Source organism: Homo sapiens, chromosome 2 (assembly GCF_000001405.40).
Source record: "Homo sapiens chromosome 2, GRCh38.p14 Primary Assembly".
NCBI classification, from domain to species: Eukaryota; Metazoa; Chordata; class Mammalia; order Primates; family Hominidae; genus Homo; species Homo sapiens.
Genome location: NC_000002.12, coordinates 37,863,839 through 37,890,179, shown reverse-complemented (window position 1 = coordinate 37,890,179; position 26,341 = coordinate 37,863,839). Strand labels below are relative to the sequence as shown.

The window sequence follows — 26,341 nt, the reverse complement described above, 5'->3', positions numbered from 1 at the left end:
TTTTTTTTTTTTTTTTTTTGTAGAGATGGGGTTTCCCTATGTTGCCTAGGCTGGTCTTGAACTCCTGGACTCAAGTGATCCTCCAGTCTGAGCCTCCCAAAATGCTGGAATTATAGGCATGAGCCACTGCACCTGGCTGGGACTTTTTAAAGAGAGTGAAAAGGCAAGCCACACACTGGGATAAGATCTTTGTAATATGTATAATTGATAAAGGACTAATATCCAGAGTATATAAAGAACTATAAACCAATTTTTTAAAAGACAGATAGCCCAGAAGGAAAATGGGCCAAAGTTGCAAGCACTTCACAAACAAGAAAATCCAGAAGGTCACTAAAAGTATTAAAAGATGCCCAACTTCACTGGTTATCAGGGAAATGCAAATTAAAGCCACAAGGAGATATCAACACATAACTTACAGATTGGTCAAAATTAAGAATTAGTCAATATCAAGTATTGTTGAGGCTATGGAATAATAGAAAACTCTCAGTCATTGCAAAATAAATTGATATAATCACTTTGAGAAACACTGATATCATCTAGCTAATCCTCTGTGGGAGCACAGGTTGGAGAATGCAATTGAATCTGGGAAGCCAAATGTTAAGTGCTGATGTGGCTCTGTGAAGGGAGTTTGCCCAGAGGTCTAAGGAAAGCTGTTGCCTTGGTGTGGCCATGGTCTCTGTGGGTTCACAGCCAAGCACCTGCAGGGAGGCCTGGGGTGCTGTGGGTCAGCAGGACCAGCAGTCTGGAAGCAGAGCGAGGCACAGAGGCGGACAGTGAAGTCGGCCTGGACCCTGTGGGGCATCTTATCTCATCACAAAGCGCTCCAGAGAGGAATGGCTCCTGCTTCACTCTCACTTCCCCAATCTCATCTAAATTCTTCTGGCCAACTCTAACAGAACATACAGGAAAGAGGGTTCTGGGCGATATAGTTTCCATCTGTATAAGTTTTCTATTATTGCTGTAACAAAACACAGACTTAGTGGCTTAAAAATGCAAATGTATCACTTTGGGAGGCTGAGGCGGGCGGATCACGAGGTCAGAAGTTCGAGACCAGTCTGGCCAACATAGTGAAACCCTGTCTCTTCTAAAAATACAAAAATACAAAAAAAAAAAAATTAGCCAGGTGTGGTGGTGTGCGCCTATAATCCCAGCTACTTCGGAGGCTGAGGCAGGAGAATCGTGTGAACCCGGGAGGCGGAGGTTGCAGGGAGCCAAGAACACACCATGGCACTCCAGCCCAGGAGAGGCAGTGTGAGACTCTGTTTCAAAAAAAAAAAAAAAAAAAAAAGCAAATGTATTAGCTTTTACAGTTCTGGAAATCAGAAGTCCAAAATGAGCTTCATTGGGCCAAAATCAAGGTATTGGCAGGGTTGGCCTCCATCTGGAGACTCTAGGGGAGAATCTATTTCCTTGCTTTTTCCATCTTGTAGAGACTGACTACATTCTTGGTTCAAGCCCCCTTCCTCCACCTGCAAAGTGCATTGGCTTCTGTTTCTGTGGTCACATCCACTTTCTGATTCTGATCCTCCTGGTTCTCTACCATAAGGACCCTTGTGATGATATCAAGCCCATCTGGATAATCCAGGATATCTCATCATCTCAAAATCCTTAACTTAATCACATCTGCTAAATCCCTGTTGCCGTGGAAGGTAACATAGTTCCAGGTTCCAGGGATTTGAATGTGGGTGTGTTTGGGGCTGTTCTCCAGCCTAGCACATTGTCAGACCAAGTTGACAACAGCACAGTCCCGCCATCTTCCCCCATCACATGGGAGCTTTTCTCCCGGAATGTTTTTCAGTTTGCTCACATAGATTCTCACACAATGTATAGTCTCCTCTTTTGAAGGGCAGGTTTCGTTGGCAATTTAGAGATGCTGTGGTTCATACAATATTTCTGGACTTTCTTTGCTCTCTCAGCTCCTGCTGCTGTCTCATGTTTTGGTTCACCCACCCATATTCTGGAGTTGTGAGAATTCCTTTTCACCCAGTTTTGTTGAAAGTGACCTCAATGTTCTTTCATCATTCTAGTTTCTATGTCTGTTTGATTATGATTTGGGGGGATTACATGCAATTATACCACTTCCAAATTATTGACATCTGAATGATCTCTATTCTTGCCATAGTTTTGAACCAATGGATGGAGCAGCATTGTTTATATTAAAATTGGAAAATAGGTGCTACAGTAAAGATTAATGAAGGTTTTCAAAAGACCATTTCTGGCTGGGCACAGTGGCTCATACCTGCAATCTCAGCATTTTGGGAGGTTGAGGTGGGTGGTTCGCTTGAGTCCAGGAGTTCAAGATGAGCCTGGCAACATGGCAAAACCCCATCTCTTTAAAAAATACAAAAATTAGCTGAGCATGGTGGCACACATCTGTAGTCCCAGCTACTCGGGAGGCTGAGGTAGGAGGATTGCTTAAGCCTGGGAGGTCGAGGCTGCAATGAACCAATATCATGCCACTTCACTCCAGCGTGGGTGACAGAGCAAGATCCTGTCTAAAAAAAAAAAACAACGCAAAACCAAAACAACAACACAAACAAACAAACAAAAACCCCTTCTGAGGAAGGATTTCCTAGCCAGTCTCTTTCCAAACCATCCCCTAAAATATGACTCGGCATTAAACTTCAAAGCTGAGTAGTTGTTTATATTACTAGATATAAAATTGGATATGAGGGTGATGTGGCCAAGACATCCCTCCACTGTGGTCAGAAACGAAATTGCAAAGGTTTAGGGTCAAGATGTTTTCCCAGTTGAGGTGTCAGTTATAAATACCTGTTTTAAAGACTCTCAAACAAAGTGGTTTGATTTCTTTTTGTTGTTGTTGTTGTTGTGTTGTTGTTGTTTGTTTTTGAGATGCAGAGTCTCGTTCTGTCACCCAGGCTGGTGTGCAGTGGTACAATCTTGGCTCACTGCATCCTCTGCCTCCTGGGTTCCAGCGATTCTCCTGCCTCAGCCTCCCAAGCAGCTGGGATTACAGGCACATGCCACCATACCCTGCTAATTTTTGTATTTTTAATAGAGATGGGGTTTCACCATGTTGACCAGGCTGATCTTGAACTCCTGACCGCAAGTGATCCACCTGCCTCGGCCTCCCACAGTGCTGGGATTACAGGTGTGAGCCACCGGGCCCGGCATGCTTTGATTTCTTAATGGCCCTGTAAGAGTTTGGCTTAACTTCATCCTAAATGAGACTTCAGACTGTGAACCATGCTGAAGGAATCTCTTGGACCGCCTACCTCAAAGCTTCTGCTTGCAACCACAGAACACACACACCCCACACCATTTGAAGTGTCTGCCTAGCATGTGACCATCTTTGTGGTTATAATTTTCAAATATCTATTTCTGTACCCTTTTATGGAGAATTCAAATCTCTAGTAGAAAATCCTCTTCTAACAAAACCTTCCCATTGCATTTGAGCAACCCACAGACCACTTGGAGAGCTTTCAAAGACCAGACTTTGGGAACCTGTAATTTAGAGCATCAAAGGAATTAGGATGTCTTGAGTTGAGGAGGACCAAAAAGGTACTTGGTACAGTCTCCTCCCAAAATTTGAAAATGAGTAAAGCAAGCAAGTTATATTTATTTAGATATGAAAACTGACTTAAAGTGATTAACTGTGGAACCTAGATGCCAGCTGAGACCTCCCCTGCCATTTGGGGATTTGGAAAACTTTCTATTGGGACTCTACTGGACTCCTGCATTCATGAATATTGTTTCATCTGCCTTCAATCTGGAAACTTCGACTCCTCGGAAATTTCTGTAACTGGTCTTTCTCTTAATCATCTCACAAAGCTAGTGATGTCACAGAGAAGTCCCAGGGAGTTATATGACATCGTATTCCACATTCTGCCACCTCCTGTGCTCTCCTTTCTCCTCTCTTCCCTCCCCCACTTCCTAACCTCATCTCCACTCCTTCACAAGAGAGCAAATGATCCTGTCTCCTTGCACTGTGTGCCCTTTCCAGACGGTCTTAGCACCAGCTAAGATCCACTACCACCCTCCCCACCCCCTCAGAGACTCACCTGCTCTAGTGGCCCTATTGAGGATTTTTCCAACAAGTATGAGATTCCTGTGAAGAGGGTATTATCGGCCAGCCACTGAAATAATAAAAATATCTTCATCTCTTTTTGTATATGGCAGACAAAAAGATCATAAAATCATGAAACCACATGAAAAGCTATTTAGTTTCTTCCTCCACAGAGGAAGATCCATGTAGAAAAGCTCAGAGCATGCCTAGGTGATGTCAAAAGCTTCACCTCCATAATTCCTTCCCTTAGAGGGTTCAGCAAATGTTAATTACCTTAATCTTATGCCTCTCTCAATGCTATTTAAGCAGCGGGAGTGATTTGCAAGGCAGTAGGGCTAGGAAGGGTCTGAAGTCCCCTGCCAGGGCAGGCATTAACCCTTCAGTTGTTGTATCATGGGATGATCCAGGGAGAATTGAGAGGGACAGAAAGAGTCTGAGCAGTGAGGGTAGGGAGGAGGAGGTTGGAGGGAGTCTTTAGGGGAGTTGGAAGCTATTCAGTTGGTGCAAAAGTAATTGTGGTGTTGGCCACTGAAAGTAACTATGTATTTCTATGTAGAAAGAGCTCTGCTGGAGTCTACAGAAGGCACACACAATGGAGAGCTCTGGCTTTAAGGATGCCACAGGCGGAAACTGACAAAGGTGTTGCCAGAGGGATTCCAGGAATTCTGAGATGCTGAGGGGAGGTTGTGGGGCAGGGAGCACCTCAGGCTGATGTGGAGGTAGACAAATAAAGGCTAGTAAAGACACACACCCATCTGAGAAAAGACGTGTCTTTGTAGGTTTGCAGGTAATATTAGATGAAACCAGAGAGCTCAGCATTGAGAGCAGATGCAAATGGTGGCAGCAAAGCAAGGCACTAGCTTCCAACTGTTCTTAGAAGGAAATCTTATGCCAAAGCTGAAAATGTAAAATGGACTAAAGCAGAACTATGCAGTGGGGATGGGGTGGGATAAAAATACAGTCTGAGAACTGCTGGTTCAAAAGAAGACCCTCAGTGGCAGGTGCTTTACTGAGGGGTTCCTGACCAAGATCCCCACAGGTAAGGCGTCAGATTCATCAGAGTCTGAGAGACCAACTCAGGCTAGAGACCAAGTGTAGGAGACGGAGGTCAACACCAAATGTCAACTACTCTTCTTAGTGAGAAAAAATGGACTGGACTGTTTACAATTTTCTGTACTTACTATATGGCAAAGTGAGTCGTAATCAGAAACCACTTTATTAATTTATCATGAGAAAGCATGATCATCAGTCTGGAACTGTGATTCAAAGTCTGTATCTTTAACGTTCTCTTTTCATATAGACATATGGAAGAACATAATCAGAAGGACTCAACTAAGGGGAAATTAAAGAATGAAATCAAATTTTTAATCACATCAGCTAAAATATTCTGATATTTCTATCTTCTAAATCAAGAGACTCCAAATTTTGATGATAGCACACCTCAATCAGCAAAAACTACTGGGGCCCACATTGCCAGTATAGGCCTATTTATTTATGAATTATGTGTACCTTCTACTGACATTTTGAACATTAAACATCAATCAAAATTAATTTAAAAATGGGCCGGGTGTGGTGGCTCACGCCTGTAATCCCAGCACTTTGGGGGGCCAAGACAGGTGGATCACCTGAGGTCAGGAGTTTGAGACCAGCCTGACCAACATAGTGAAACCCCGTCTCTACTAAAAAAACAAAAAAATTAGCTGGGTGTGGTGGTGGGTGCCTGTAATCCCAGCTACTCGGGAACCTGAGGCAGGAGAATCGCTTGACTGGGAGGCAGAGGTTGCAGTGAGCCGAGATCATGCCATTGCACTCCAGCCTGGGTGACAGAGAGACCCCATCTCAAAAAAGAAAAAAAATAGTTCGAATATTTTCTTTACTTGTTACAGTGGAATATTTCAACTATCATTTAATAAAAGAAATAGATTTTACATACATGAATTTCCTGTGTATGACTCTTTTGGATGGATATATTGAAAACATTCTATAAAATGCATAAGATGCGTGACAATTACTTTCCTCAGGTGTGCTCTAATGAGATTATTATAGTAACTGTATGGTAACTATTGTCATCCCAATATGTAGAAACTCTGATTCCAAGCTCCTAACTTTTGTGTTTGCCCTTTGTCTACCTTTGAAGAGCATGCTGCTTCCCTTCCTTGCATGGAAATACCATGATCATTAAAAATATTGAAGACATCAAACAAGTAAGCAAGTCTGACTGTCCGTTTCATATCTGCAAAAGTTAGGACTAAACTGATTTCTTATCTTGCAGAAACATAACTATGACTTCATGTCATAGTTCAAACATCCTTGACTTGACAGAACATTTCCTTTCAATGACCATCCCACCTCATCAAGAAACGATTGTTATTGTTTGGATCAGTATCCATATTAACACATAATAAAGAAAATGATTTGAATTGAACATATTGGCTGTGAGGTCATTCAGTTTTTACTATATCACTAAGCACACTGTGTAGTTCGGCTGACTTGTAAAAGGTTTTTAACAGGATTTTCTCAATGAAGAAAACTAGAAATTAATTAACAGTCACTGGCACAAGCTCCTTAAGCTGGGTAACCATTCCATAATGTTTTCCTGTCATTGGAATTACAACACCAGACCATATTCATACATGCAATTTAAACTCTTCATCATAGTTATTTATAATATAGTCCTTCCCAGTTGTATATGGTTCAGAGCTAGTTGTGTTTCATGGTGATTAAGTTGCTAAACACAATTTTTCCTTTACACCAAGTCGGCAATATGTGTGTATTCATCAAGTTGAAACAGACAGCACTTTGTTAGCATTATAGACCAGCTAGAAAGGTGGGAGCCTGTACCAGAGCAGTTAGAGTAGGATATAGAGAAACAAATACATCCAAGAAATATTCATGAGGCCAAGTTGAAGGAGTAGGATGAGGATATGGGGATGAAGGGGTAGAAAGAACATGTCAGAGACTACTTTCAGGTTTCTGGCTTGGATACCTAGATGGATGGTGATATTAGTAAATACTATAGAGAATATAGGAGAAAGATAAGGTTTGAAACGAAGTTGATGAGTTTACTTCTGTGCCACATACTGAGATTGAGGTTCTTGAATAGATTGATCATTCATCATGGTTTGCCTGAACTGTGTGGATTTATGCCTGTTGTCCTAGTTTAATTAGTAATTGCACCCTCTTTCCTCTCAAAAAGAAAACTACTTGACTGCTTCATTTGTTCTTGAGTTGGTCTCCTAGATCATTAGCCATTTCCTGAATATGTCAGGTTATGGAGTCATTAGAAAGTGGTACTAGAGGCTAGGTGCAGTGGCTCACACCTGTAATCCCAGCACTTTAGGAGGCCGAGGCAGGCAGATCACGAGGTCAGGAGTTTGAGACCAGCTTGACCCAAACGGTGAAACCCCATCTCTACTAAAAATACAAAAATTAGCTGGGCATGGTGGCGTGCACCTGTAATCCTAGCCACTCAGGAGGCTGAAACAGGAGAATCGCTTGAACCCAGGAGACAGAGGTCGCAGTGAGCTGAGATCACGCCACTGCACTCCAGCCTGGGTGACAGAGCAAGACTCTGTCTTAAAAAAAAAAAAAAAAAAAAAAAAGAAAAGAAGAAAAGAAAAGAAAGTGGTACTAGAGTTACCTTCTTGGCTACAGATTCATCTGAAATTTCCAAGCAAACATTTCTGATGCAAGTTTTCACTGCCTTCTTAGCAATTACATATAGAGTTGTAGTGTAACTGACCTGATGTATTCATTTATATGTAGCAGCAAAGCACTGATGTTTAAATGAGAAATTCTGAGGATTTGCTTCTGTTAGCTCGCTGACTCAATATTCATTTTTCAAATAATTTCTTTGACTTTAAACTTCTAAAAAATTTCTCACCTGTAAATGCCACTTAAGTTCAGATGGTTTTATTGCATCATCAGCCAGTACTTCTCTGCAACTAACACTATAGTGTTAGCACTTCATCTTCAATATGGTACAAAATCTATAGAGATTATACTTCAGACTAAACTACATGAGGACCTTTGATTTTTGTTTCTTTGGAATCACTTCCATTGTCATCATCTGGTTTATCACTACTGCCACATTCAGTAAAGTGTGCCTTTACAGGACATACATATCTACGTATAGAAAACAGCATTTGGCAAGCATATTGTTAGATTCTAGGAAATTGGCATTTTTTATATTTTCCAAATTTTCTACAATAATCATGTATTTCTTGAATCAGAAATTATGATTGATTTCTTAAAAAAATAAAGCCCAGAAAAGCTTATTTTACTGCTTATCAATTAGGGTCAAAAATAGTACAAATTTAACTTCTTTAATTTAGTTAACAACATTAGCTATAAATTAAATAATAAGCTTGATTAAAAAGTAAAACGATCATGAAAGTAGCAAGTTAAAATACCCAAATGCTGATTTTCTGAAAACTTTATGCATTGTTGGCTTCTTGTCGGCCGCTCATTCTCCCTCCCACATGTAGCACACAGCTTGCACCTGCTGTGACTCAGCGTGCGAGTGTGACAGCAGGTGAGCAGGCCTCCTCCCTGTTTCACGGGATGGCTCCATAGACCACACACTTGGATGTTGCAACAACGTCAGATTGCCATAAAAGTGTCTGAACAGTTACTGTCAATTTCCAACTTATCAGACAGTGCAGGGGAAAAGGGTTCTGCAGGACATCCGTTGACAGCGCTGACCTGTATGGATTTACACTCCCTCATCCTGGGACAAGCACACCATTACTAAATGTTCTTTTACCTGGCTGAATGTTTCTGAAACACCCAACCTCCTCCTGCTCCCATGATGCCCCAAGGTTGCAGGAGTTGGGGGTATGAAGGAGAAGCTTGTGGTCTCACCTGCTCCATTGGCTTCTTTCTCTTCCTACACCTTCCTGGGACTAAATAGACTTTCCTCTCACCTCTTTTTATTTCCTATATAGACTTTTATGGTCCTGTCTGGATTTTCATATGTTAAAGCAGGAGATCAAAGCATTTGGAAGAACTTTTTCTCTCTGAATAATGCCTAGTTTTCAAGTTTAGTGTTTTGCGACAACATCCTATCCTGAATAACTAAAGCTGTTATCCAAAATACAATTTTTTTCCACTTTGCATTTCTACTGTAACAATACAAGAGACAGATGATGAGGGGGAAGGACATGTACCCCCAAGAAAGTAAAAAGAAAAGTACATTGACATTTTTTCGGGTCCTTTCTTTAGAGGGCTCTATCAGTTGACTTCTACAGAAGGCTGTGCAGGGCACTCCATGACTCGCAGTGTGCCTGCATGCTATACCGGCACTAGCCGGAGAGCTGGCGGCTCTCCGAGGACTCTGTCTGGGTTGTCCGTCATGATCAGGGTTTCCCTCATTAAGGCTCCAGCTACAGTAGTTCTGGGCTTTGCTCTTTAATCTCTTCCTGCCCGTTGCCACCAGGGACACTCTCACCTACCACAGGAAGTCTCCAATTCATAAATGGTCTATGTTCTGAACGTCTGTAAGTGTAGCACTTGAAACCCAGAACTCATTTTTCTGCAAAGAGAATGTTATAAGTGTGTGTTGGGTCTCCAGGTCAACCCACAAAGGCCCATTTAACTTCTACTGCAGGTAATGAATTTTCCCTTTGCTCCTTTTATATACATAGAATTATGGAATGTCAGAGCTGGAATAGAATTTAGAACATCATGCTACACAGTGGTAACAGGGTTGTCTTCCACTGTATTCTATTACAAGTGCCCCATGTTCCTTCTATGTGAAACATTAGGTAGGGTCCTGCGGTCTAGCCTGGAAACCCAGTCACCCTTTACAACATTGTAAATCAAATAGTCACGAACAGAAGTAGTCTTCCACAGAGAACTTCATCTTAGCTACTTTTCTTTATGCCTTTGAGGCACATTGCAAGGAGCAGGTTTTTGTCAATGAGGTCTCTCCATCTATGTGCAGGCATGGCCAATACTTACGCACCTAAAATCAATATCATCACGGGAGCCACCATTAAGAAAACCAAAGGGCTCAGGTGTGGGAGTAGAGGTGAGAAGGGACCCCTCTTGGCTGATATTGAGTCAAGCATACTTCCATCCCAGGGGATCTGTTTCCTGTCCTTTCTGTTTGAGATGCTTTTGTCCGGGCATCCTCATAGTACACTCTCAGTTCATCTGCTCTGCGCTCAAGAACCACTGCTCAGTGAGGCCCTTAATGGCTGCTCTATCTAAACCAGTACCTCCTGGCACTCCTGCTCTCCTGCCCTTCCTTAACTTTTCCCTGTAGCACTGTTCATTTGCTTATTTGTTGGATTTCCTGCCTGCCATTTGGTGCCTCCTGCAACCCCCACGTAAGTTTCATGAGGGTAGGATTTTGTCTCGTTTGCTGTCACACCATTAGTGCCTAGAACATTGTCTATGTGGCACATGGCAGGAGCTCTGGAAATATATTTTTGAGTGAAAGAATGAGGTGAGTCAGCACTCTGCTAGGTGTTCTATATATGTTATTTTATTTAATACTCAAAACACTTCGGTGAGGTTGCCTTTTTTTTTTTAATAGATGAGTGACAGAGCACTCTTAGGTTTTTTTTGTTTTGTTGTGTTTTTAGAGATGGGGGGGTCTCACTCTGTCACCCAGGCTGGAGTGCAGTGGCTTCATCATAGCTCAAGCTCATTAGCTCATCACTGCAGCCTCAGACTCTTGAGCTCAAGTGGTCCTCCTGCTCAACCTCTGGCCTCCCAAAGAGGTGGGATTACATGTGTGAGCCACCATACACAGCGAGAACCCTTGATTTAAAAAGCGACTTTAGGCCAGGCAAAGTGGCTTACACTTGTAATCCAGCGCTTTGGGAAACTGAGGTGGGTGGATCTCTTGAAGTTCGAGACCAGCCTGGCCAACGTGGCAAAACCCCGTCTCTACTAAAAATAACAAAAATTAGCTGGATGTGGTCATGCAAGCCTGTAATCTCAGCTACTCAGGAGGCTGAGGCAGGAGAATTGCTTGAACCCAGGAGATGGAAGTTGCAGTGAGCTGAGATCATGCCACTGCACACCAGCCTTGGAGAAGGAGCGAGACTCCATCTCAAATAAAAATAAAATCCACTTTAGCAATACAATTTTGTGACTTATATATGCATTTTATCTGTTTATAATTGTTATTATTGTTGAATCTCAAGAAAATCTTAAATTCTCTAGAGAATAAATTTGAATTTTAAAAATTCTCTTTGGATTTAGTGTAGGAGGAAAGACTGGCACTCTGAAGTGGGTTGTCTTTAAAGAAGTATCTTGAGGGTAACTTTTAGCCAACTTGATTCAACTGAAGTCAGTAAATCTCAGATGGATAATCACCACGTGCTGGTGTAGGGAGAATTTACGGTCCTTATCTTCAAAGGCCTTGTGAAGGCCTCATCACTTCACACTGGGATTATAATACGTAATCACTTTTCATTCATCTATTCATTGATTTATCAAGCATGAGTTGTGCCCTTGAGGAATTCTATTCCAGAAAGAGAGACAGCTTTGTTAAAAAAAAAAAAAAAAAGAAAAAAGAAAGAAAGAAAAGAAAAGAAAAAACAAAACTATCGATCACATGGTAGGTAACAGTATCAGAGAATTCTGTATAAAATGCTGTGAGGGTGGTAGATCATAACCCAAGATGAAAAGGTTTATCATCCTTTTCATCTTGGGTTATGATCAGGGTTGCATATAAAATCCTTTGAGTCTTCCTGAAGTTACTTTCTTAACTATAGCGTGGTTAGGCAAACTTGGCACATCCCTACAATGAGCTACACACATCAGACCACAAAGGATGGAGCCCATATAAATATATGAAAAGCAGATCTTCCCTAGTGGGCCTAAAATGAACCTTCACAGATATGTATCAGAAGGGGATTCATAGCCATGCTCTGTGAGATAGCAGAAACGATAACAACTTTGAAATCAGATGGAAAATTGGACTTAAAAATGCTTCTCATTTAGTTGTGTAATCTTGGACACAGTACTTGCTAGCTCAGAGCCTCTCCAGCTCACAGGATTGCTGTGAAGCAAGCCCCCAGCAGAGGCTGATATCCAGCGTGTGCTCCATAAATGTCGTATAACAATAGCTGCCTTGATCTGCTAGCTTTGGGGTAAATTTTACATATGTCATTTAATCAAGAAAACAACCTTCTAAGTATAATTGTTCATATTTTGCAGATGAAAAGACTGAGGGTAAGAGAAATCACGTAGCTATTAAGTGGTTTAGCTGAAATTCACCCCATTTTTATCCTCTTCCAAAGTTAGTGCTCTTAAGAATTACATAAATAATTATATATTAAGTTCATTGTATTCTCCCTATAGGCTGCTTAAGAATACAATAATATAAGATAAAAATATGTGTACATGAACTTATATTTATCAGTAAGTACTGGGGTATAAAATTGTCTTTCCCTCTTTAAGCCCTAATGTTCATTGACGCGTTAACAATGAGTCACGATTTTATTTCTTGACAGTAGATGGCGCTGGTGATTGTCAAAAGAGACAGAGTCTCCCACACCCCTCTCCTTTCCTGAGCCATTGAAAAACAAAACAAAGAGCTGGTGGAAAAAAAACGCAAAAATTTTCATCGTAATGAAGGATTGAAATTAAAAATTTGGAACCGTCATGTGATTAAGCAGAACGTGTATATGATCCACACACTTTTATTTGGAACTCTAGGGAAAACCTCCTGAGCTATTTGTAAAATTTCATTCTCAGGATTAAAACAAAATATAGTAAAATTTGATTATCCAGACAAAAGATGGATTTATATTTCTCTATTAGACAGATTTTATTTCTGCACCTTAATTTTAGCAAGGGATGAATATTAAGACAACTATGAATTTAGTTGACAAAAAACTCACATATATCTGACTTCCAGAGTCCTGAAGGTGGTATAGAGGAGTATGGTAGTCAAGATAAAAACAAAACAAATTATTATATGACCTTTGAGTATATCACTTAATGTCTCAGGACAGAAGTTTTCTCATTTGTAAAACTGAAATATTTCTTGCCTAATTCACATGGCAGTTGCAAGGATCAAATACAGTAAAGTAGTATAAACACCTTGAGAATTGTCATGTTCTTTCCAAATATGCTTTTTTTCATCTTTACCATACAATCAACCCAACCACCTATAGGTAAAATCATAACACAAGGAAAATTGGAATTCAGAATAAAATACTTGAGCATTAAATTTCCTCATTGGTCCAAAAGCACTTTAATAGGCTTTGGTGAATTAGATTCGTGCAAGAAAAGGGACTAATGTATTTTCAACCATCAAAGGAGTGTTTAGCTTAATAATCAGCTACCCAGAAAATGAAACAGAAAAACACTTGAATCCAAAGCACCGAAGTGAACTGAAGCGGCCTCCACTGTCCTCCCCTAACTGTCCGCACGGCCTGTCCTCTGTAGGAGTGTCCTTGTGTACGTGTGGAGGTTGTGGACACACATGCCTAGGGTTACAGATGCTCTACAGACTTAACTCAGTATAGTGAAGCTGCAGAGATAGTCATAGCCCTAAAGAAGCCTATCTGAGAGCTTTCCTTTGGGTTTTACAAGAGGCATAGATATTTATTCTGCTCTTCTTTTAACAAAAGACTCCCAAATATTTGCTGAAGATGTAGAGTATTGCCATTTCTGCTTCAAAAGCTCTGAGCCTCTCACGGCACCTGTTGCTGCTGCCCCAAGAGCGGAACACACCCTCCACACCAGCAGCCCCAGGACTAGATTCAGCTTCTCAGTGAACCACTTCCATGCTCCACGATGTGCTCTGGGCTTTGGGGACTTAAAACATCGCAGCCGCGGCATAACAGAGATGCGTCAGCTTCTAAAGTCGTAGTGGGCAGTTCTAGAAACCTGACCCTTTCTTCTGCTGCTACAGATTCTATTGGCTTCTGGAGATTCAGAGACGTCCTTCCTCAAGAAGGAACCTCTGCCTGGCCTTCAGCAGGGCCACTGTCATGTGCGATATTCACTTAGAGCCTTATCACATTTGTGGCTGTAGAGGTGTTTGCGTGCCTTGTTTAATTTATCCCACTAGACTGTAAGTTCAGGGCAGATGGGGGATGTCTGGTTTTTGTTTTTTTTTTTTTTGCCTAATACTGTGTCCCCATGCTGGGCACAGACCTAGCACAGAGTAGGTGCTTGGCAAAGAGCTTTTGAATGAATGAATGATTGGCTGTAGTCTTCCTGGGAAAGGGCTGGCAGGCAAGGAAGTGTTAAACCAGCCACTAACCGCCCAGGCTGACCAGCCTTCTCCCTATCTCCCAGGCCTTTCGAACGGAGCCCGGGGAGGACAGGCTGGCAGAGGAGGGAGGAGGGTTTCTAGCTGAGAGAGACTGCGGCTGTGGGCCTGCAGCCTACCCCTCTTCAAGCTCTCCGGAGCCGTTCCTGCGAAACCAGCCCCCACAAGTGAGTGTCTGCGGCCCCCTCCCTCCTCTTTCCCTTATTGCTCCCTGTGGGGATGGGGCTGACACCGAGCTTGATCCTAAGTAAAAGTCTGTTCTAACAGGAAGCAAATAATGTTCCTCCCCTGACGGAGGTGTTTCCTTCTCAAAGAAGTTACAAAGGGCTCTTTTCAGAGAGAAAGGGGCTGGGAATAGTGTGTGGCCTCACTGCCGTCTGCCTTGGGTGGAGCCAGCACGTTCTGGAATCCAGGGGCTTCCTCTTCTAAAGAGGCGCCGGGCCATGCACTGAAACGGGGTGGCCCATCCTCTGGGAGCCCCAGTCCCCTTACCTGCTTGATACAAGCATCCTCTGGAAGTGCCTAGGGTCATTGCCAAGGCCCCTGTTTTCTTTTCTTGGCTTCCAGGACGCCGTAGTCTGTGTTCTTCCTCCCGCCCTGCAGTTCCCTAGCTGGATTCTCTTCCTCGCTGTGATCTCTTCATCCCTGGTTCCCCAGCGCTCTGTCCTGAGCCCCCTTCTCGAACCACACTCTCGTCTGAGTGAGCATATTGAGCTTCATGGCTGTACATTTCCTCCCCGTGCCGAGGAATCCCACACACTTAGTTCCAGCGCCCAGCTCGCCCCCACCTCATCCAGGTCCTTACATCCCCCTGCAGACTCTGTCTCCACTCCACCTCATTGGTGTTTCCCACTCACTAGATCTAAAGCCAAACTCTTGATCCTGACTTCTCCACCCACCAGCTTGCCTTTCTCTTCATCTTCCCCATCTCAGAGAGCGGCTCGGTCCCGAACTGTCTCTTTCCTTCACACCCTTCATCTAACACACAGCAAGGCTTCTCAGCTCTACCTTCAAAATCTACTCCTCATCTTTCTTCTTCCCACCACCGCCACTCAAACGCCCTCGGCCTAGAGGGATCAGACCCATACTACCTGGCTCCTGAACCTCTGCAAGAGTCTCTGATCTTTCTGCTTCCACTCCTGTCTTGCTACAGACTATTCTTCTGACAGCAGCCGGGGTGATCTTTTCAACTACCAGACCGTGTCACCTTGCTTAAAACCAGCTGGGGCTTCCCTCACACGCAGCATGACACTCAAACTCCACACGACAATCTAACCAGCCTCACCAACTGTGGCCCTGGCTTGTCCTTCTGACTTAGCTTCTGTCTCAGCTCAGGCTACACTGGCCTTCTTGGTATTCCTCAGCCCCCCAGCTTGTCACTGCCCAGCCTTTGCACTGTGTCCTCTCTCTGGAGTTCTTTCCCTCAGGTCTTCAGGTGGCCTTGCTCTCGGGCTTTCTGGAGAGACTTAAAAGCCATATCCATGGAGAGGCTGAGTTTGGCCACCTACCTAAGGTAGCCTCTCATCACTCTCCATGCCTTCGTCTGGCTTTCCTTTTGATTGAGCACTTGTTACTACTTGTGTTCAGCTCTTAGATGAGGGCACAAGGAACTCTGGCGGGTTTAAGTAGAAGAAGGATTTATGTGTAGACTTTGACAGCTCCAGGAATGTTTGGGAAGGCTTAGTGGTTTATAGCCAAGAAGAGTGCACGCATTGCACGAATTGGTGGGATCTCTGCTGCCCCAGCTGCCACTGGTTATGTCACCAATGCTACCGTCCCAGATACTAACACTGCTGGAACCCGCTGTCACCAGCACCCTTGGAATCCCCATCTTTCTGCAGCTGCTGCCATCTCCTATGAGGGCTTTCTCAGTCTCTTTGTCCTTGAGTCATTGGTTCCTAACTCAAATTGTGGGCCAGTGTGTCTGGCTGGTGGAGCCTTGGCCACAGGCCTTGGCTCCTTCTACAAGAGAGGCTGATAAAACCACTATCAGGCATTTTCAAATTCTATGTAATGGACCATGGGCTCTGCTTATCCACCAGATTCCATGAGGTAGGGAATCTCAAACATAGGATGGAGGTTCAGATTCTGGGTAACCAAAAAACAACGATAAGCATGCCCTTGACTAGCTGGCTTTCTAGTATATATTTACGTGTTTATGTGTCTATTGCCTAGCTACTACATTAGAATGAAAGCTAGATGAGGTCAGGCACTTTGTCTTTTTCCCTCTGTATTCCGAGAGTTCAGAACAGTGGCTGCACAGAAGTGACCCTTGATAACTACTGAATGAATATCAGATACTGTATTGAAGGTGTCAGCAATTAGAAAGATTAAACAGTCTCATTGTTGCTACCATTCCTTCTTTAGGTGGCTGATGCTCCTGTCCCTCTTCTGGCCTGATTGCTCCCTCTCCTGACCCCTAAGGTAAAAGCCAGCCAACTTGGGAGATATAGTTTGCCGGTAAAAGAGACAAGCAGACAGGGTCAGGTGCTCCATGCCAGGAAAGGAAGCCAGTTAGTGACAAAGGAGAATCCCAGGGGACTTCAGGGAGGGAAGACATGGCTACCGAAGGGCACAGGGCCAGGGCATGTGCAAATTATATTGTTGAGACAGTGAGAATGCCCTACCTTGCCTGCCACTTCTTTGAGGAGAAGAGAGTAGAGTCGCAGGAATGAAGGCTCCTTTTAACCATCCTGTGCCTTCAGACTCAGGGAGTCTGATGGAGGTGGTGGGGTTGGGGAAGGGAAATGGGGGAGGGAGTACAGTGGCTGGAGAGCTGGGGTCAGTAAACAGAAGGCATGGTGGAAAAAGTTCCCATTCTACCTCCTTAAGTTTCAGAAACCTGTTGTTTTCCAAGCCCAGTGACTCCCTCTGATATGTAGCCTGCAGGGGTGGAAAGTGTCTGAAGTGTCTGAATGTGTGTGTGTGTGTGTGTGTGTGTGTGTGTGTGTGTGTGTGTGTGTCTGTAGGGTTGGGAGGAGAGCAAGTGGAAAGAATGAAAGCTTGCCAGGCTAGGTAGGGAGGAGGAGACGACAGTCTTGCACTGCCAGGGGGTCACAGTGCTATCCCGTTACTGCTCTAGGCTCTACCTCAAATGCTCGGTAGCTTTATCCTCTCTCTTTTAACATTCAGCCTTTAAGTATTTTGAACATGCATGTAATTGGGGATGGGAACAGCTGTCATGACTGTCTTGCTGTAGGTCTGGACGCATTATATGTAGCAGGTGCATATGAGCAAGAGCTCAGGCCACTTGCCCAGCCATCCTTACTGTCCTGGATGAGGGATCAGGGCCATGGGGTTAATGCTCTGATGGGATCTAGGCCTCCTGACCAGCTGGTCCCTCCATCCATTCTCCACCGCTTGCCCAGCCTCACCCTTCCCCCACTAGAGTATAGGAATCATAGGAAAGGAACATCTGGTGTAGTTCCCAGCACCCTTCTCCCACCCCAGCTAGCCCTTGGCCACCTGGACTCCTGAGCCCAGTGGATCCCGGCAGGACTGGGGAGCAGGGACAGCTGGGATGTCCTATATGGAGTCTTTAAGAAAAAGGACATGGGCATGTGGAACTCTAGCCATGGTGCTCGGGGAGAATCAGATGCAAAATTGTTGTCTTTTAATGGGAAAGAGAGAAAAATTGAGAGTGAAAAGCACTGTCTGGGCAGGACGGTCTGCAGGGGAGGGATGAGTGGAGGAAGGAGAAAAGGAGTGGGGAGTGAGGAAAGAAAAGCAAAGAAGAGGACACATTGAGGGGACACTCAGACTGAACACGATGTTGGGGAAATGCTGAACATTCTATTTATAGATTCTAGAGAACTTCTAAGAAGAGGCACTGTGAGTTGGCTTAGCTGTGTTAAAAGATGACTAATTATAGTCATTTATGGAAACTGCTGCTTAGCATTTCTAGCTAATCATCATGCAGGCTGGATTACTCATGTTGTGAATATCTGTCAGGGCATTTTTTGTTGAGAATTGTATTTGATTGCAACACCTGCTCATGAAGATCCACTTTATTGTCATGCAGCGTAGTTACCTACTCAGGACTAAAACAAAACAATCCAGAAAGAATGCTTTCTAAGAATAAAGAAAAACAAAACAAACGCCTGTAAGTATACCACATGATTTTCAAAAATTTGGTGTGAAGGTTGGTAAAAGAAGGTTAACAAAACACTAAGAATATTTTAAAAATTGTTGAAGTTTCCCATACGCCTACTCCCTATCCTCGCCACCATCCCACACATGCACACACACACGTGTGCACACACCCACCCACACACTGTCCTTTGAACATGAGATCCATGGCAGTTACAGAAATTGTATCATCTAATCTGCAAATATATTCATTTTGGTGCTTCGCAGATGAACAGAAATTGCTTTTCCCTTTTTACAAAAAAAAAAAAAAAAGGATAAAAAGGCCAAAGTGTCTGTTACTAATGATGCCTGGGTCACTCAGGAAGTCTGTATCATATCAAGCAACATGGAGCTTGGATTAAAAGAAAAGAAGGTTAGGTTAAATCCAAGCAAAAACATCTTGACTTTTAACTTAAAAACGGGTGTCATTCTGTGCATTAGATTCACGGTGTTGAAAAGTAACCATCCCAAATGCATTCTGTGGGTACATGTAAATGCATAACACTTGGAGCAGTTTGGAAAGAAGCAGGTCAACATGGCCCCGATGCGCAGCCCCTATGTCTGCCACCCCCATCTCTGTGTGAAGGTGATAAACCGGGGCAGTGGACCAGGGCTTCTGTGCCAACAGTTGGAATGCAGACAGAGAATTGCATACATAGAAAAGGAAAGCAGATTTGAATCACTTAGTTCCTGTATAAATTCATCCACTTCTCTCCAGTAACATTTGGCGTAATCACTGGGGATCAGTCTTTACAGGCCTGTTGTTCAGATGAAGACATTACAGAACACAAAAGGCATGTCAAGTCCTCCAACACAGCAGCAGGCCCGAGAGAAAAACCAGACTCCGGAGTCAGAGTGGGAACAAACTACACTGTTTAAAAATGTTACTTACTGTTTAAAAAAAGGGGAAAGAATCAGGAATCAGAAAATAAAAGGCAAGACTTAAAAAAATGCATCAAGCATTTTCTCCTTAAAAATGTTACTTTTGGGCCAGGCACGGTGGCTCACGCCTGTACTCCCAGCATTCTGGGAGGCCAAGGTGGGTGCATCACCTGAAGTAAGGAGTTTTGAGACCAGACTAGCCAACATAGTGAAACTCCGTCTCTACTAAAAATACAAAAAATTAGCTGGGTGTGGTGGCAGATACCTGTAATTCCAGCTACTCGGGAGGCTGAGGCAGCAGAATCTCTTGAACCCAGAAGCTGGAGGTTGCAGTGAGCCGAGATTGCGCCACTGCACTCCAGCCTGGGTGACAGAGTGAGACTCCATCTCAAAAAAAAAAAAGAAAGAAAAAAAAGTTACTTTCATGTGAAGCTGTGATTTGGCCCTTAGTACCTTCCCCACCAATAACCTGGTTACTGGATAAGAACAGAATAATAAACTTAGAAGCCATCTATTGCAATCTCCTCTGCTATTTGCCTCCCCTCTTTGTGCCCCAACATGTTGTCATCCTGCTTCTGCCTCAATACTTTAAATGGCAGCGAGCTTCTTGCCTGTTTGGAGCAACCCATTGGTCTTTAGATCATGCAATTGAGAAATGAAACACCCTGTTACCATGTCACCCTCTACAGAGTCCTAGTGTTGAACACCGGAGACACACAAGACAGGTCCAAGTTCTCTTCCATGTGCAAGTTCTTGCTTATTAGGAAACCTCAATCATGTGTCTTTTAAAACTGCCCTTATGTCCTCCAGTCTATGAACACCCTGGACTTACAATGTCAGGCTCCTGCATCATCCCTGCTGCCATCTCTGTGCTGGCTTACATTCCTCTTAAGTGTGGAACTGGCAACAGAACTCATGGTATGACCTGAGGTTTGGCTAGGTTTTGCAGCTATTCGTCATGCTTTTGGCCACCTATTAACTTTTGTTTTTTGTTTGTTCATTGAGATGGAATCCCACTCTCTCACCCAGGCTGGAGTGCAGTATTGAGATCATAGGTTACTGGAGTCTCAACCTCCCAGGCTCAAGTGATCCTCCTGCCTCAGCCTCAGGAGTAAGCTGGGACTACAGGTGCGCCACCATGCTCGGCTAATTTTTTTTCAATTTTTTGTAGAGATGTGGTCTCAATCTGTTGCCCAGGCTAGTCTTGAACTCCTGGGCTCAAGTAACCCTCCTGCTTCAGCCTCCTAAAGTGTTGGGGTTACAGGAATGAGCCACTGTGCCTGGCCCCTATCAACTTATGAACTCCCCCACCCCTCCCCCGGCATCATGAGCCTGCTTGCTCCTAAGGAAGAAGTCAAAACTTGTTCTCTGGGCCATTCTTGCAGCTGAGGTTTGGGCATACGATCCAGACACCCTGATCACATACAACTATGTAAGACTCTGATTTGGAATCTATGGACATGAAGCAGCAGGCCTGGGCTGCAGACATTCTGGTGAGGGTAGGTGCAGCAGTGACAGCCAGCATTTCAGAGACAAAGAGGGGTTATGTCCTTCAAGGAGGTCCCTAAGACCAGAGTTTGAGAGATAAGCTGCAGTACTGTGTGGAAGAATAATGAGCTCCCAAAGATGTCCACGTCCCAATCATTGGAACCTGAATATGAATACATTAACTCACATGGCAGAGGGGATTTTGCAGATGGGATCAAGTTAAGGATCTTGAGATGGAGAGATGGTCTTGGATTATCTGGGTGAGCTCAATGTAATCACAAGGTTCCGTATAAGGGAAGAGGTGGGAGGTTCAGAATTAGAGAAGGTGATGTGATGATGGAAGCAGAGGGAGAGGAAGAGACATGGCAATGAAAGCAGAAGTAAGAGAGAAGGATTTGAAGCCACACTGCTGGCTGTGAAGATGGCAGAGGGGGCTGTGAGCCAAGGATGCATGTGGCCTCTAGAAGCCGGGAAAGGCAAGGAAAATCACACTCCCCTAGAACCTCTAGAAAGGAAATCAACCCTGCCACACCTTGATTTTAGCCCAGCAAGGCCCATTTTGAACTTCTGACCTCCAGAACTGTAAGAGAATATAGGGTATTGTTTTAATCTCCTAAGTGTGTGTTAATTTGTTATAAGTGCAGCAGGAAATGCATACCTGGGCACCAGTTCCAAAGGCTAGTGAAGGGAGCAGCAGGGTCTCCATGTAATTCCGGCCCTTCTTTTAACCCTGACACTTCCAAAACTGATTCTCTGGCTCTCCCAAAGACTCTATAAATTCCCTCAGATCACTTAACAAGTTCATTTTCTTCTAAAACTGACTTGAATACATAGGTTCTGTGACTTGTAACAGAGAGCTCGGGTAATTCCTGCCCCAGGGCTCCTCTATCCTTTCCCTTTTATTTCTGAATTATCTCTCAAATCCATCTTCGCTGCTCTATCACCCCTTCCTTGTTTCAGGTCCTTGCTATCTCTTGCCTAGACTATTTTCATGCCCTCTTAATTATTTTTCCTGTCTCTTATGTCTTCTTGTTCTAGCCCTTCCTTCACATTCCTGCTATATCATTATATTTCAAAACTTAGCCAGAGTGCTTCATTGCCTTATTGGAAACATGTTGATGGTGTCCCATTGCCAACAGGATGAAGATCAAAGTCTCTACATGGCATGGAAGGACCCTAACCACCTTGCATGAACCTGCAAAGGATTTGATGCTAGTGACATCTGATGAGCTCTAGGGCCATGGGTAAATCCCTGAATCACAGGGAGCACCATCTGTAAAGCAGTGATAATGATACATTTTTTCATTTGTAAAGTGATGATTTAAAAAAATATCCTACCTCATGGTATCTTCATGAAAATGAAACAAGATAATGAATGAAAAACACACTTGTTTGTCCAGTGCTTGGTATATAGTAGGCATTTAATTATATGTGCGTGAGTGTGCATGTGTGTGTTTCATGAATTACCGCTCCCCATCTTGCATCACCAAATACGTCTCATATCATCCCTGCATTTTTATGCCAATATTTCTTTAACCTCAAAGCCCTTTCCTCCTTCTCTTTGGCTTGGCAAACTCTTACAAGTTTGAGCTCAAATACCATCTTTTCATGGAGACTTTTCTGACTCCTTCAATCAAGGGGGGTCAGTGCTTCCTCTGGGTGCCTCTCTGGTGGCAATTATCTGACTCTATTGCAATGACTTGCTTACAAAGTCATCCCCTTCATTGAGGTTCTTTTTCATTTTGAAATCTGCAAGGTCTGGCATGGTGTTTACAAGCCAGGAGAACCTAAATAAATGTCAGACGAACAAATGAATGAACTAATGGGGAAAAGGGAAGGGTGGAACTTCCACCTACTCCTTCTGGCAAGTGAGGCTTGGTTGAAAGTTCCAAAGTTCAAACCTGAAGCTTCACATGATTGGAAAGCAAATCTATGTAAGTGTTCTAAGTAGGCTTTAAATAAAATTACTTTAAGAAAGTTGAAGATTACGTGGTGGGTGAATAAGAGTAATTGTTTTACAAAGGATTTCTAGACACAAAAAGATCATTTTCCAAGAATATTTTCTTTAAAGAGGAAGTTGACCAGTTGCTATAAGCAATTAGTTATTTAATAAAGAGTTTCAGTTCTATCTAAAATTAAGACAAAGCACCTCATTCAGAATGGGTGTCACCGGGGAAAAATCACTGAAACTGCACACAGCTGTTTACCTTTTAGTACCTAGTGAAGCACACCTGAGTGATATTTGCTTTTCTTTTCACAAAGGTCAACAACAAAGTTGCAAATCATCTAATGTATCTAAATTTTTAATATCAAATCACAACTTTGTAACTAAGATTTCCAAAAAAGGGTTATTCTATGAGTTACCTTGACTTTCAAAGCAAATACACAAAAGTAAAGAGAGCCTTGCTATTGCTCCTTCAGGATCTTATGAACTTGGCTATACAAATGTCATTCATAATCCATTTGACCTCTCACGTCTACCTCCCTAGAAACATTTTTCATAGTGGAAATTGCAACTAGAGCCAGTGGTCAGCTCTTCCACTCACCCCGCCAGCATTAGCAGCAGAGCCACATCCAGAAGTCCGGAGGCAATGTGAAACTTGGCTGGGGTCACTATGGCCACGGAACCTTGTTAAGAACAAAAAACAAAAGGTTGTGACCTTAGTCGCATCTAAAGGAAAGACATTCCTGCTTTAGATTATAAACTGGTTTGGATGGAAACCAGCTGATGTGTGGACACTCTGATGGTTTCAATAGGCTTTTCAGCTCTTGTAATTATCTCTCTGCTAAAGTAAATGTTAGTGTAACCATTGACATTTGATAAGTCACTCTGTGCTACCCAAGGCAGAAGATAGATAAACTTTAATCATTGTTTGGGTAGTCAATATGCATTTCTTATCATAGAACACTATCCTATTTTTTTTTACCTTATGTACAGAATATATTCACATAAATGTGCACTTACGTTGACATAATTGCACATGTATGCAAGTTTTTCTGCTTTTTAGTATGTGCATAGTTTTAAAACATGACACTCCTAGAGAACAAATGGTGACTTTCCTTTGCAAGTTTGAAGATCAGGCAGTGGTAATGGAGAGGCAGGAATGAGAACCTACTGAGAAAACACAGCAAATTAAAGATGAAGTGGTTCTGCAGGGACCACAGGCCTGTGGGGATGTGTTTTTGCTAAGACTGATTACATGTTGTCCTTTTCCAGCATCATGCATGGCACCCCTTCTCAGATTAGCGAGAATAATCTTTCTCAAAAGATCAGAAACATGCCGTTTCTCAATAAGGAGACAACCTGTCAAAATTATGCATCAATAAAACCATAACTCGAGGGCCTTAGTCATTTACAGCCATTAATTTCTTCCATCTTCTTTGAAATAGCCCCAAGGGAAGAAGCAAGTGACAAGCACTTCACACACGGAGACATGGCATACTAGGGACTCCTGCCAGCTCTACAGGATCCAAAATAGTTTTTTGGCATCTGAGCAAGGAATGGGTTCCAGGCTTGAGACAACTGTGCACATCAGAGGAATGGGTTCCCTCCCTCCAGCTGGGGCCCCAGCGAATCCTGCGGTCCTCCCGAGCAGGCTGCTCTGCTTTGAGGCAGCCAACGCTTGACAAAAGCCAGCTGGGAGCAGCTCAGACCAAGCCCATGCCCACACACTGCTATAAAAATGTTTTAAAGACCCCATTACATCTTATTTACTCTCCTTAGCAAGAGAAAGTATCAATGTCCTCCCCTCTCCTTCCAAAATAGGCAATATTGGCCTCCCTCTGGGGGTTCTTCAAAGACCCATTAATAAGAGCTCCTTTTCTGGGCATTACCAACTTGCACGTGAGTTGATGGAGATCAGTTTATTTCACATTCAACAAATGTTTCCTGAACATTCACTGTGTTCAGGGCACTGTGCTATGTCTAAGGGAAAAGTTCATGGAGGAGTAATAATCATGAAAAAAAATAACGGCTCAGGGAGGAGTAATAAAAATAATAATAATAATAAGAGCTCCAACATACTGTGCTTCCTACTATGTGTCAGACCCCATTGTAAGCATGTTACAGGATTGTCTCGCTTGATCCTTAAAAACAATACTGTAAGATGGGTATCGTCACTCCTATTTTACAGATAAGGAAGCTGGGATTCAGAGAAATTAAGGGACTTGGTGAAGCAGAGAATGCCAAGGGAATTGATTCAGTAGTGGACGGGGAGTCCCTGAAGACTGTTGAGCAGTGAAGAGACCTGATCGCATACTAAAAAAGTACATGCAATGGCAAGAAGATCAACTAAGAGGTAGGAAAATTAGCCAGGAGATAGGTAACATTCAGTGAAAAATGTGATGAAGGTTGACATGCAAATCTAAACAATATGCATATCTGCCTATATGTTTTAAGAACACAGACAACTGCAATAAAAACTATAAAGAAAAGCAAGGGAATTGTAAATGCAAAAATTCAGACCAGTAATCAGTTCTGGAAGGGTGGGCAGGTGCAGATGATGTAATTAGGGATGGAACATCAGAGGGCTTCCAGGTATTTAAGTGCTCTATTCCTGAGCTGCCTTGTAGGAACACGGGTGGCCATTGTATTTTTTGAAACCTAGATACCTGAGTTTCACAAACTCTCTCAGATCATAAAGCCCTTAGTGTCTCAACAAATTTTTCAGTGTCCCAAGACAAAACTAAATACCTGTGTAGGTTGTTAGGTCCCCAAATCTTAAAAGTCGTAGATTGTGTATTGTCCCTTGAAAACTGATATACGCTGTGAAGCCTCTGTGATTTCACTGTGGTGTCCTGGGTGCCTCAGCACAGAGACTGGGAACCATGACAGTGTAACATCATTTATGTTCATGTATGAAATGTTTCATGGTATATTTATATGTGTTAAAAATATAATTTATATATTAAATATATTATATGACACAAAGTTATACATAAATGTGTAATAAATTAATATTTAAATATAGAAATATGTCATATAATATTTATAAATAAAAGATAGAAAATATATGAATATATAAAATTTAATAAATTATACATTATATAAAATATATATTTAAATATAATAAACGTATTATACATTATATAGAAAATATATTATATTTGAACATAATAAGTGTTTGTTCAATGGTGAGGCCAGTGGAAACAGGAGGGGGTCTGTCTTCTTGGATTTTCTTGGCTCGGTGACTGACTGGAGGTGGGCACGGAAGAGTCAAAGGCCACATAAAATGTTGAGGCAGAACACGAGGAAAAGTGTGAAGTCAGTGGTAGGATCTGGCTGAGGGATTATGGGAAGGAATAAGTGTCGTTTGGGGTACAGAGATTTGTGGCAGCAGAAGGCATCAGATTGCCAGCTGGTTGAATATTTGGGACCAGCTTTTTGTCCCCAAGGCTTGGAGCAGGGGACAGATCCAGAGAATGCTACACAGAGATGGGGCAGGAGAGGAGAGACGACAGAAAGGCCAAGTGCAGGGATTACATGGTGAGGGCTGAGGGCAGAGAGTAGGGAGACCCCTATGTGTTTGCACAGGAGGAGAGAGAGGAGCCGGGAAGAAGTGATGGAGGAGCTT

At 43.0% G+C, this 26,341-nt stretch overlaps 1 long non-coding RNA gene across 1 annotated transcript in view; it reads left to right on the top strand.

Moving 5' to 3' along the window:
- Window positions 1–14,316: 14,316 nt before the first annotated feature.
- PIRAT1 (PU.1 (SPI1) induced regulator of S100A8 and S100A9 alarmin transcription 1) overlaps window positions 14,317–26,341 on the top strand; it is a 49,617-nt gene continuing 37,592 nt past the window's right edge. Inside the window, exons 1-2 of the long non-coding RNA NR_110012.1 lie at window positions 14,317–14,437; window positions 24,902–25,066. This is a non-coding gene — a long non-coding RNA (PU.1 (SPI1) induced regulator of S100A8 and S100A9 alarmin transcription 1). The remainder of the gene's footprint in view (window positions 14,438–24,901; window positions 25,067–26,341) is intronic.